Raw genomic sequence first — 13,753 nt, 5'->3', positions numbered from 1 at the left:
TCACAACCTACTCATCTGACAAAGGGCTAATATCCAGAATCTACAATGAACTCAAACAAATTTACAAGAAAAAAACAAACAACCCCATCAAAAAGTGGGCGAAGGACATGAACAGACACTTCTCAAAAGAAGACATTTATGCAGCCAAAAAACACATGAAAAAATGCTCATCATCACTGGCCATCAGAGAAATGCAAATCAAAACCACTATGAGATATCATCTCACACCAGTTAGAATGGCAATCATTAAAAAGTCAGGAAACAACAGGTGCTGGAGAGGATGTGGAGAAATAGGAACACTTTTACACTGTTGGTGGGACTGTAAACTAGTTCAACCATTGTGGAAGTCAGTGTGGCGATTCCTCAGGGATCTAGAACTAGAAATACCATTTGACCCAGCCATCCCATTACTGGGTATATACCCAAATGACTATAAATCATGCTGCTATAAAGACACATGCACACGTATGTTTATTGCGGCATTATTCACAATAGCAAAGACTTGGAACCAACCCAAATGTCCAACGATGATAGGCTGGATTAAGAAAATGTGGCACATATACACCATGGAATACTATGCAGCCATAAAAAATGATGAGTTCATGTCCTTTGTAGGGACATGGATGAAATTGGAAACCATCATTCTCAGTAAACTATCACAAGAACAAAAAACCAAACACCGCATATTCTCACTCATAGGTGGGAATTGAACAATGAGATCACATGGACACAGGAAGGGGAATATCACACTCTGGGGACTGTGGTGGGGTCGGGGGAGGGGGGAGGGATAGCATTGGGAGATATACCTAATGCTAGATGACACGTTAGTGGCTGCAGCGCACCAGCATGGCACATGTATACATATGTAACTAACCTGCACAATGTGCACATGTACCCTAAAACTTAAAGTATAATAAAAAAAAAAACATTAAAAAAAATAAAATAAAAAAAAATAAAGATAAACCAGAAAAAAAAAAAAAAGAAAAGCCAAGATTCCTATATTTATAAGCCAAAAAGCAAAAAGATAAAACAAAACCTGATTTTAGAAGGACTCATAAAATGTACAAAGAATACAAACATGATGCTCATCCTTTGCCTAATCATCTATAGATACATGCCCAACACCCTTTTCTGTTCCTTGAGGTTACACTTGACCTTCCCTTGATCTGCTCTGCCTCACCACTCAACACGGGAAATCTCACCATAGGCTTTTCATTCTATCATAATTCCTTTTATTGTGGCACTAGTATATGTCCACAAGTATTTGTTTTAGGCACCAACTCTTTCTCTTTGTTTAGTGGTAAGAACATCATCTCTTGAGGAGAATGTCAAGGTTCATCCTATCCCAACCAAGTTTTTGCCAGTAAGTAGAGTTAAACAACTCTCTGAATGCAATATTCAAAATAATGTATTAAATTGTAATAATTCTTTAAAAATGCTGTTGACAATTTTCATTTACAAAATTCCAGGTTCAGAAAATTCATTAAGATGGCTGATATTGTTCTCTACTTAAGTTTAAGGTAGACACCATGTTGAGCTGTAAATTCTACTTAAATTTTCTATGAGATTGTGTATACACATTAGAGTAATATAGTATATGAAAATATTTTAGTATATGAGTATGTATATGAAATATAATTTAAGTAAAAACACTCATTTACTTGTTTACTTATAGTTCTCTATTGTTCTAATTTCTGACAGTCCGATAACATTAATATAAGTAACCATAAATATTAATTTCCTAGTATTAACCTAAGAAAGGAAACATATACTAAAGTAACATTCAGAAGAAAAAATGGATTGTATGTCATTGTTTGTTTTTAAATAATATAATTTTCTTTAAAGAATAGTGTTAAATGAAATTTGAAGTTTGTATATTTTATATAATAAAACACAATCTTACCCTTTTCTTGACCAGTGCAGCAACTTTGTCATGTGTTTCGGATTTATCTGTAAGACAATGAAACATGGCTGCTTCAAAAAAGTGCCTATGTTCCTGTTCAAATAAATACTGAATTACACAATTAGAATTTTCTACTTTCTCATTACTATTGTAACAGTATTTTGTTCCCGTTGTCCCTTTAATTAATATGCTAGTAAACTGAGCTGTCCATTGTTTAGTAGAGCAATGCAATCCAAAAGTAATAATATGAACATTTTTATACTTATTTGGCAGATCTCCTCTCTTAAAGTTGGCTAGTTGGATGTCCTCAAGTTGGTGTCTAGTATATCTTATTTCTAGGTTCTGGGGAGCTTGTGTGCTCTGGAGTATATAGGATCTAGAACTGAATCCCAGCTGCCTCCATTTTCATATCTATCTATTATATGCTGGACATGGGACAAGGACTTTATATAGATATCTTATTTAATTCTCATTATAACCTTGTAAAGTACGCAGTCCCTCCTCACTTCACAGCTGAGATAAATAATGTACCCTGCCTGAGGTCATGCAGCTTGGCCAGAACCATCTGATCGCAAGCCTCTAATTTTTCCAGAATGTCTGCCGTCTCCATTTGGGACCACTGAGCTGCCAACAGTGCCTCAGAGAAAGATTCAGCAAGAATGGAAACTACTAGTACATTTTCTCATTATGCCACTCCTAAATTTAGTACATTTTCTCATTATACCACTCCTAAAAACAGAATAATTAGTAATGAAATAGTTCATAAAAAACTATCCCAGGATATTATTTTGAGATGTGCTAAAGTATGTATGTGTGTATATGTATCTATTGGTTACAACTGTTGTCATAAAATATAGAAACTCAGAGGAACAGGTTACTATATTCATGCCTACAACCTGGTGGTTACATGTAAACTATCCTCTTTCCTATATCCAGCTGTATATTTAAGATGATCCCTCTTTCTGGAACACCCTTTCTCTCCACTAATGAATGTATAAGGTTAGGTGCTACTACAGATATTCCTCTGATTAGGATAAAACTCCACCTCTTTTGCAAAATCATAGTCATATAAAGCCATGAAACTTTCTTCCTTGTATTATGGTTAGTTATGAACATGTCTAAGTATTCTGTGAAACTAAAATATTCCTCAAAAGCAGGGACCACATTTTATATGCAGTAAGTGTTCAATAATACTTATAATTAAAAATGTATATGTATTTCATCCAAAATCTCATATGAATCTGAAATATACATTTTACCTTAAAAAATTAATGTAATTTATTAATTAAAATAAACTGATCATTTACTTGGTATCGGCTACTATATTAGACAGTATAAGATATAAAACAATGTATATGCTCTTAGACTCTCTTTATTGATAAACCAGGGGTAATAATTATTTTTCTTAAACTTTTAGTTTCAGGGGTACATGTACAGGTTTGCTATATAGCATAGTACCCGATAGGTAGTTTTTCAATCCTCACCCTCTTTCCACCCTCCACCCTCACGTAGGCCCCAGTGCCTATTGTTTCCTTCTTTGTGACCACATGTACTCAATGTTTAGTTCTCACTTATAAGTGACAACATGCAGCACTTGATTGTCTGTTCCTACATTATCTTGCTTAGGATAACGGCCTCCAGTCCCAAACATGTTGCTGAAAGGACATTATTTTGTTCTTTTACATGACTACATAGTATTCCATAGTGAATATGTACCATATTTTCTTTATCCAGTCTACAATTGATGGGCATCTAAGTTAATTCCATGTCTTTGCTATTGAAAATAGTGCTGCAATGAACATATGTGTGCATGTATCTTCATGGTAGAATGATTTATATTTCTTTGGGTATAGATCCCAAAAATGGGATTGCTGGGTCAAATGATGGTTCTGTTTTAAGTTCTTTGAAAAATTGCCAAACTGCTTTACACAGTCACTGAACTAAATTACACTACCACAAGTAGTATATAGCATTCCCTTTTCTCTGCAACCTCGCCAGTATTTGTTATTTTTTGACTTTTTATTAATAACCATTCTGACTGGTGTGAGATAGTATCTCATTATGGTTTTGATTTGCATTTCTCTAATGGCCAGTGATGTTGAGCATTTTTTCATATGCTCATTAGCCACATATATGTTTTCTTTTGAAAAGTGTCTGTTCATGTCCTTTTCCCACTTTTTAATGGGGTTATTTTTTGCTTATTATAAATGCTGGACATCAGACCTTTTTCAGATGCAGAGTTTGCGAATATTTTCTCCCATTCTGTAGGCTATTTACTCTGTTGATAGTTTCCTTTGTTGTACAAAAGCTCTTTCATTTAATTAGGTCCAGGAGTAAAAATGATTACCTCACTAGAATATTGTGAGATTTAAATAATATAATCTACTTAATTAAAACTCCTAAAACAATGTCTGAAGATAACAGATAATCAACAAATATTCACTTCCATTTTAGCTAGTAGACATGGGGTGTGTGTGTGTGTGTGTGTGTGTGTGTGTGTGTGTGCGCGCGTGTGTGTGTGAAAGAGAGAGAAAGAAAGAGAGAGATCTTGATCTTTGGAATACTAGGAAAAACACTTTAGTGATTATATATTTCACTATTGTATCATCTTTTTAGGTGACTCCACCATTCTTCTATCTAAATAATTATTTTCATCTTTTTAACATAGTTGGAAATAATTGATGAGTAATAATAAAATATCAGCGTGTTTCAAGAAATGGGAAAAAATAAGATCACTAAAATCTCATAGTATATTTTGGGATTAATCATGTGTAAAGGGCCCAGTAGAACCTTATGGTAATTACAAGATGGAATAAGTTTTGTTGTATCTTTAAAAAAAAGTAAATTTACTCTTTGTTCTTTTGAAAACCTCTAATAAGGATAAAAGTCATAATGAAATATCAATCATTAAAAATAGTTAAAATTAAACAAAAAGAAACTCAAAAACTAAAATTGGAGTCTATGTATCTGGATGGTATAGAGAGAGTTAACCAAAATGGATGTTTGCTATGTTTCCTGTCAAAATATACCTCATTCTTATGTAAATTTTCTAACAAGGCAATAAATTGGGAACAGAAATATGTGAACTGTTGTTCAAGGAGCTTTTTGTGTTCAAAAGCTATAAAAACCATCTTCCAATAAAAGTAGAGTATCTTGGGGAATATCAACAACCACGTTGATTTTCAAATGCCAAAGGAAAATTCTTATGTAATACTTAAAACATTATGATCAGTAGTAATTTCTTTACTAATAATAACAGTAGGTCTATGTTCAACTTTAGCAAAAATTAACAACTTTCTAAAAGCTAAATTTTCTCTTGTGAGAAAGATTTAATTTCCTTCCTTCAGAAATCTCTGCATGTAGGGACTCTCATCATAAAGAGTGAAAAGCAGTTAACAGGAAATGTAGATGTGGATAATGAAAAGGGCCTTCACTCCTCCTTTGAGCTATATCCAAGTCATATTTTTAAAGTGCAAAAGAGGAGCTGCAGGTAGTAAATGAAAATGTTCTAAATGAGTAGAGGTGGTTTTGACTCATGACCCAGAACAGATGTTATTGATTTTTTACTTACAACCATATTAGGGAGAAATACAAATATTAACATAATTCAATGATTTATCTTATTTCAATAATTTTTTTAAACCTTGTGTATTCATGGACTCAAAAAATTGTCAGTTTTTGTTTGTTTAAATGTGATAGCTGAGAGCATTTTCGTAAAAACATAGAGGACAGTCCAGTTTCTGGTCTGGCATGTAAGGAAATTAGAAGTCCCCACTAGAGTCCAACAACATGTACAAAGGTGAGCAAAACGAAAAATGAACAACTCTTCTTAGATCCTTTGGAGAAGTGGGGTCACAGGGCAAACTGATGTCCCCAAATTTGGAGAAAAAGACAGGTAAATACAGAGAATCACAACCAACCTGAGCAGGGTGGAAACTAGTATAGGGGTAGGAAAACCTGAACTTTAATTGACAAATTGCTAGAAGCTCTGTGGGAACAAGCCTGAGACAAAAACTCCAGGGGGACCTAGTCATGGTGGGAGGGACACCCTTTTATTGAGTTTTACGTGTAGGAGCTCTACCAGGTTCTCACAGAGAAGATTAGGGAAATATCTCCTGGCTTCCATCAGGGGGAGGAGAAAAGTAACCATTTTGAAATAATATGTCAGACCATTCTGTACTTCTTAGCAAGGCCTGCCCTGAGGAGAAACTATTTTACCAGAGCCTAACCTATTGAGGGATTTTCAAAGCCTAACCCCAGCCTGACCTGGGGGAAGCAAAATACTCAACTCCAGCCCCGTCTAGCCATCCTTTACTATCTATGTAGGTGAAGAAAAAAAAGGGGGGTTGGAGGAAAGCCCTTATGAAGTTTACAGCCTAGGACTGAGACTTTATCATAGGAACATAGAATGCTTTCCCTCCCCCTCATGTCTTACCACTGCACTGCTAAACTATCATGATTGCAGTTATTTTACCCAGAACATCATGCCCACCTTTCAATAAAAATTTATAAGCATACTAAAAGGCAAAAAAGAAAATTTGAAGAGACAGAGCAAGCAGCAGGACCAGATCAAGATATGGCAGAGATGATGGGATTATCAGCTCATGAATTTAAAACAACCATGACTAATATGCTAAAAGCTACAGTGTTAAAAGTAGACAATATGCAATAACAGATAGGTAACGTAAGCAAAGAAATGAAAATTCTAAGAAAGATTCACAAGAAATGGTTGAGAGCAAAAGTAATGCAACATAAATGAAGAATGTGTTTTATGCGCTCATCAGTAGACTCGACATGGCTGAGAAAACAATCTTTGAGCTTCAGGATATATCAATAAAAACCACCAAAACTAAAAAACTGAAAAAGAGAAAAGACTGAAAAAAATAATATAACAGAATATACAAGAACTGTGGGACAACTAGAAAAGTGTGACATACATGTAATAGGCATACCAGAATGAAAAGAGATGCAGGAACAAAAAAAAATTTGACACAATAATAACTGATAATTTCCCCCAAATTAATATCAGATGCCAAACCATATATCCAGAAGCTCAGGAAACACTAAGTAATATAAATGCCAAAAATCTACATATCATATTCAAACTTCAGAAAATAAAAGATTAAAAATAAAATCTTGAAAGAAGTCAGAGAAAAAAAAACTTACCAATAGAAAAGATAAAAATTACATCCAACTTTTCCTCAAAAACCATGCAATCGATAAAAGAGTTGAACAAAATAAAGTGTTGACAAAATAACACAGCCACCTAGAAATCTACACTCTGAAATTACCTTTTTTTTTTTTCTTTTGAAATAGGGTCTCACTCTGTACTCAGGTCAGAGTGCAGTAGCACAATCATGGCTCACTGCAGCCTCGACCTCCCAGGCTCAAGCGATCCTCCCACTCAGTCTCCTGCATAGCTGGGACTACAGATGAATACCTGGCTAATTTTTGAATTTTTTATAGAGACGGAATCTCACCGTGTTGCCCAGGCTGGTCTCCAACTCTGGGCTCAAGTGATCCTCTTGTCTCAGCCTCCCAAAGTGCTGGGATTGCAGGCCTGAGCCACAGTGCATGGCCTGTGAAACTATTTTTCAAAAGTGAAGGAGAAATAAAGACTTTCCCAGGCAAAGAAAAAGAAATGGAGGCATTTGTTGCCAATAGAACTACCTTCCAAGAAACACTAAAAGAAGTTCTTCCAAGAGAAGAAAAATAATATAGGTTAGAAATTCAGATCTACACAAAGACAACAAGAGCACTGAAAACTGAATAAGTAAAGGTAAAGTAAAAACTTTTTACTTTTCTTATTCTTAATTGATCTAATAGATGTTTGTTTAAAATAATCATGATACACTTAATTATGTATACTTATGCATACATCTTATGTGTGTGTGTGCATATATGCTTATATATAAGTAAAATGAATGATAGCAATGATACCAGGGATGAGAAGGCATAGTCTGTCATTATAAGATATTTGTACTATTCCTGAAACAGGATAATTATTTGTAAGTGGGATTTGAATTAGTTGTAAATGTACATTGCAAACTCTAGGGCAACCACCAAAAAGTTTTTAAAAAAGTATAACTGATAATTGGTATGCTAAGAGGGAAGAAAATGGAATTATTTAAAATCTCAAAATCACAAAGACAGAAAAAGAGTGAAAGACAAAAACAGTAACAAAGAAAAAGGGCACCACTTTAAAAAGTTTTAAAAAAGTATAATTGATAATTGATATGTCAAGAGGGAAGAAAATGGAATTATATAAAATCTAAAAATCACAAAGACAGAAAAAGAGTGAAAGACAAAAACAGTAACAAAGAAAAAGGGCAATAAATAGAAAATAATAACAAATATGACAACTATTAATCCATGATATTAAAAATAATCATTTTAAACATTAATGGCCCAGATGGATGAATTAAAAGAAAAAATATATCATGCTAACCCTAATGAAAAGGAAGTAGGAGGAGTTATATTAATTTGAAACAGAGCAGACTTCAGAGCAAGTTTAGTTATCAAGAATAAAGAGGGTCATACATAATAATAAAGAGGTCAATACTCCAAGAAGACTTGCAACCTTTAATGTACATGCACCTAACAACAGAGCATCAAAATATGAGAGGCAAAAACTGATGGAACTGCAGAGAGAAATAAATAAATCTACTATTATAGCTAGAGGCTTCAACAGCCCTCTATCAGAAATGAACAAATCCAGCAAAAAGACACAGTTGCACTCAAAAGCACCATCAATCAACTGGATATATTTGACATCTGTAATCTACTTCATCCAACAACAGCAGAATACACATCCTTCTTATGCCCACATGAAACACTCAGAAAAAAAGACCACATCCTGGGCCATAAAAAATACCTTAACACATTTAAAAGAATAGATATAATACAATGTCCTCTCACAGACCAAAATGGAATTAAGCCAGAAACTGGTAACAGAGAGATAGGTGGAAATCCAAAATACTTGGAGATTAAGGAACACACTTCTAAGTAACACATAGATCAAAGAAAAAAAAAAAACTCAAGAAAAATTTTAAAATATTTTGAACTCAATGAAAATGAAAGTGCAACTTATCAATCATGGGATGCAGCAAAAGCAATGTTCAGAGGAAAATTTATAGCATTGAATTCATCTATTAGAAAAGAAAAAAGCTCTAAAATCAATAATCTAAGCTTTTACTTTGGAAACTAGAAGAAAAAGAACAGGCTAAATCCAAAGTAAGCAGAAGAAAAAAAATAAAAGAGCAGAAATCAATGAAATTGAAGACAGTAGACAGAGAAAAATCAATACAACCATAAGCTAGCTCTTTGAAAGATCAGTAAAATTGAGACTCTAGAGAGGAAGGCAGGCAGGCAGGCAAGAAGGAAGGAAGACAGGACAGAAGGAAGACAGGAAGGCAGGCAGGAAGGCAGGCAGGAAGGAAGGAAAGAAGGAAGAAAGGAAGGGAAGAAGGGAGGGAGGGAGACAGGAAGGAAGGAGGAAAGGGAGAGAGGCAGGCAGGCACAAATTACTAATATTAGAAATGAAAGAGGTAGACATTATAACAAATCCCATGGACATTAAAAGAAAATAAAGGAACATTATGAACAACTCTATGCCCACAAATTTTATAACCTAGATGAAATGGATCAATTTCTTGAAAGAGACACTCTGCTAAAATTTTCGCAAAAAGAAACAGGCAATCTGAATAGGCCTACAATTATTAAAGAAATTGAATCAATATAATAACCTTCCCAAACAAAAAGCAGCAAGCCCAGATGGGTTCACTGGTGAATGCTATCAAACATATAGGAAGAAATTATGCCAATTCTCCGTAACCTTTTCCAGAAGATATAAGCAGAGAAAGTACTTCCTAACTCATTCAATGCAAGGTAGTTCAAAAATTGGAAACCAATTAATGTAATCAATTAATCACATCAACAGCATAAAGAAGAAAAATCACATGACCATGTAAGCAGATCACAGAAAAGCGTATGAAAAAAAAAAACCTCAGGAAACAAGGAGGACGGGAACTTCCTCAGCTTCATAAAGAGCATTTACAAAATATCTAAAGCTAGTATCATATTTAATGGTAACAAACTAGAAGCTGTCATGCTAAGATGAAGAACAAGTCAAGGGTTTTCTCCCTCACCACTCTTCTCAATATTGTACTGGAATGCCTAGATAACGCAGTAAGACAATAAATGAAAATAAAAGATATACACATTTGGAAAGAAGAAATAAAACTCTCGCTGCACATGATATGATTGTCTATGTAGTAAATCCAAAAGAATAGACCAAAAAAACCCTGTAATTAATAATAGATTATAGCAAGGTTGCAGGATACAAGGTTAATATCCAAAAATAAATAGATTTCTGACATACTAGTACCAAACAAGTAGAATTTGAAATGAAAACACATTAGAATTTACATTGGCAAACCTCAAAGTGAATTAGTCAAGCATAAATCTAAAAAGAAATACAAGATCTAAATGAGAAAAACTACCAAACTCTGATAAAATAAATCAAAAAAGAACTAAATAAACTTGAAGATATTCCACATTCATGGATAAGAAGACTCAATATGGTCAAGATGTCAGTTCTTCCCAACTTGATATATAAATTCAATATAATCCCAATAAAAATGCTAGCAAGTTATTTTGTGAAATCAACAAACTGATTCTAAAATTTTTATGGAAAGGCAAAGACCCAGAATAGCCAACCCAATATGGAAGGAGAAGAACAATGCTGGAGAACTGACACTACCCAACTTGAAGACTTACTATGAAACTGCAGTAATCAATACAGTGTGGTATTGGCAAAAGAACAGACAAATAGATCAACAGAACAGAATAAAGAACCCAGAAATAGACCCACATAAATATAGTCAATAGATAATTGATAAAGGAGCAAAGGTGATACAATGGAGTAGACAGTCTTTTCAACCAGTGGTGCAGGAACAACTGGACATCCACACACACAAAAAGTAAATTTAGACACTGATCTTACACCTTTCACAAAAAGGAACTCACAATGAATCATAGGGCGAAATGCAAAATTATAAAACTCCTAGAAGATAAAAGAGAAAACCTAGATGACCTCATGTATGGCAATAACATTTAGATACAACACCAAAGGCAAGGTCCATGAAAGAAATAATTGATAAACTAGACTTCATTAAAATTTAAAATGTCTGCTCTGCCAAAGATTCTGTCAAGAGAATAGAAAAGATAAGCCACATATTGGGAGCAAGTATTTGCAGAAGACCTATAAAAGAGCGACATCTAAAATATACAAAGAACTCTTAAAACCTCTGCAGCAAAAAAATGAACAATCCGATTGAAAAATGAGCAAAATATCTCAGAAAACAACTCACCAAAGAAGATAGAAAGGTGGCAAATAAGTATATGAAAGGATGTTCAACATCATATGTCATTAGGAAATTGTAAATTAAAACACTTATGAGGTGCCACTACACACCTACTAGAGTGGCCAAAACCCAAAACACTGACACCACCAAATATTGATGAGGATGTGGAGCAACAGGAACTCTCATTCATTGCTGGTGGGAATGCAAAATGGTGCAGTCATTTTGGAAGACAGTTTGGTAGTTTCTTTAAAATTTGAACATATCTCACCATATGATCAGCAATTGTGTTCCTTGGTATTTATCAAAAGAAGTTGAAAACATCTGTCCAGACAAAAACCTGCACATATATGTTTACAGCAGCTTTATTCATAGTTGCCAAAATTTAAAAGCAACCAAGATGTCCTTTCATAGGTGAATGATTTTAAAAAATCACGGCACATACAGACAATGGGTATTATTCAGCACTAATTTAAAAAAGATCTATCAAGCCATGCAAATACACGGAAGAAACTTAAATGCATATTACTAAGAGAAAGAAACCAATCTGAAAGGGTGACATATCATATGATTCTAACCATATGACATTCTGGAAAAGCCAAAACTATGGAGACAGATAACAAAAATCAGTAGTTGCCAGGGAATAAGGGGGAGGTAGAAACAAACAGCTGGAACACAAAGGATTTTTAGAGCAGTGAAACTACTCTATATGATACTATAATGGTGGATACAGGTCATTATACATTTCTCCAGACACACAGAATGCATAACAGCAAGAGTAAACCCTAATGTAAACTAAGGACTTTGGGTGACAATGACGTGTCAGTGTAGGTTCATGAATTGTAACAAATAGATGTCATGGTATGGGATGTTGACAGTCGGGGAGGTTGTGTGTTTAGGGATTGTGAGGAGGAGATATATGGGAACTCTCTGTACTTTCCACTCAATCTTCTGTGAACTTGTCATTCATTTTCCACTCTTTTCAAACCTACTTATTTGCTTTAAATCCTAAACTTAGGTGGTTGGGTTGAAATTTAAATTTTTTCTCAAATAAAATCTTTTCACATATACATTTTTTGTAAATATAAAGTTTTCCAAAGGAGAAAAAAAAAATCATTGCTACTTGAAAATTCAGTCAGCATCAAAGTCCGGATCCTTCTATCCATAGAGTAATCTGTTTAGAACTTAAAGTAATAAAGACAAAAAGGGGCTTGTAAAATATAAAATGATCATAATCACTAAGCAGAAAACAATTTAAACATATTTAAGTTTAATAAAAACTATCTCACACCTGTGATCCCAGCACTTTGGGAGGCTGAGGTGGGTGGATCACCTGAGGTCAGGAGTTGGAGACCAGTCTGGCCAATATGGTGAAACCTCGTCTCTACTAAAATACAAAAATTAGCTGGGCGTGGTGGCGGGCACCTGTAATCCCAGCTACTCAGAAGGCTGAGGCAGGAGAATTGCTAGAACCCAGGAGGCGGAGGTTGCGGTGAGCCAAGATCGCGCCACTGCACTCCAGCCTGGGCAACAGAGCGAGACTCCATCTAAAAAAATAAATAAATAAAAGTTATCATTTTATGTGGCAATCATTTCCTTTTTAGAGTTAAAAATGTGTCATATCCATAGATCAATGGAACAGAATAAAGAACTCAGAAATAACGCCGCATACCTACAACTATCTGATCTTCAATAAATCTGACAAAAACAAGCAATGGGAAGTTCAAGACCAGCCTGGCCAACATGGTGAAACCCCATCTCTACTAAAGATACAAAAAATTATCCGGGTATGGTGGCATGTGCCTGTAATCCCAACTACTCGGGAGGCTGAGACAGGAGAATTGTTTGAACCTGGGAGGTGGAGCTTGCAGTGAGCTGAGATCGCGCCATTGCACTCCAGCCTGGGCAAGAGGGCAAGACTCTGTCTCAAAAAAAAAAAAAAAAAAAGAAAAAAAATGAGGAAAGGATTCCCTACTTAATAAATGGTACTGGGAGAACTGGCTAGCCATATGCAGAAAATTGAAACTGGACCCTGCCCCACTTCCTTATACCATATACAAAAATTAACTGAAGATGGATTCAAGACTTAAATGTAAAACCTAAAACTATAAAAACCCTGGAAGACAACTCAGGCAATACCATTCAGGACATAGGCATGGGCAAAGATTTCACAATGAAGACACCAAAAGCAATTACAACACAGCAAAAATTGACAAATGTGATCTAATTAAACCAAAGAGCACAGCAATAGAAACTATCCACAGAGTGAGCAGAGAACTTACTGACTGGAAGAAAATTTTTGCAATCTATGCATCTGACAAAGGTCTAATATCCACCATCTGACAAAGGTCTAATATCCACCATCTATAGGGAACTTAAACAAGTTCACAAGAAAAAAAAAACCATTAAAAAGTGGGCAAAGGACACAAACAGACAATTTTCAAAAGAAGACATACATGCAGCCAACCTACATATGAAAAATAGTTCA

General features: G+C 34.7%; 1 protein-coding gene across 4 annotated transcripts in view; it reads right to left on the bottom strand.

Annotated features, from left to right (window-relative positions):
- Positions 1-13,753, bottom strand: part of ZCWPW2 (zinc finger CW-type and PWWP domain containing 2) — a 177,638-nt gene that overhangs the window by 32,282 nt on the left and 131,603 nt on the right. For all 4 annotated transcript variants that reach the window (NR_136708.2, NM_001040432.4, NM_001324169.2 and 1 more), the window contains one exon: positions 1,904-1,950. Coding sequence is in view for 3 of the 4 variants with exons in the window: in NM_001040432.4 (NP_001035522.1) it covers positions 1,904-1,950 (47 nt within the window). In the remaining variant the exon portion in view is untranslated. The remainder of the gene's footprint in view (positions 1-1,903; positions 1,951-13,753) is intronic.

The sequence above is a fragment of the Homo sapiens genome, chromosome 3 (assembly GCF_000001405.40).
Source record: "Homo sapiens chromosome 3, GRCh38.p14 Primary Assembly".
Taxonomy (NCBI): Eukaryota; Metazoa; Chordata; class Mammalia; order Primates; family Hominidae; genus Homo; species Homo sapiens.
The sequence above is the reverse complement of the archived record's forward strand: the minus strand, read 5'-3'. Positions and strand labels throughout refer to the sequence as shown.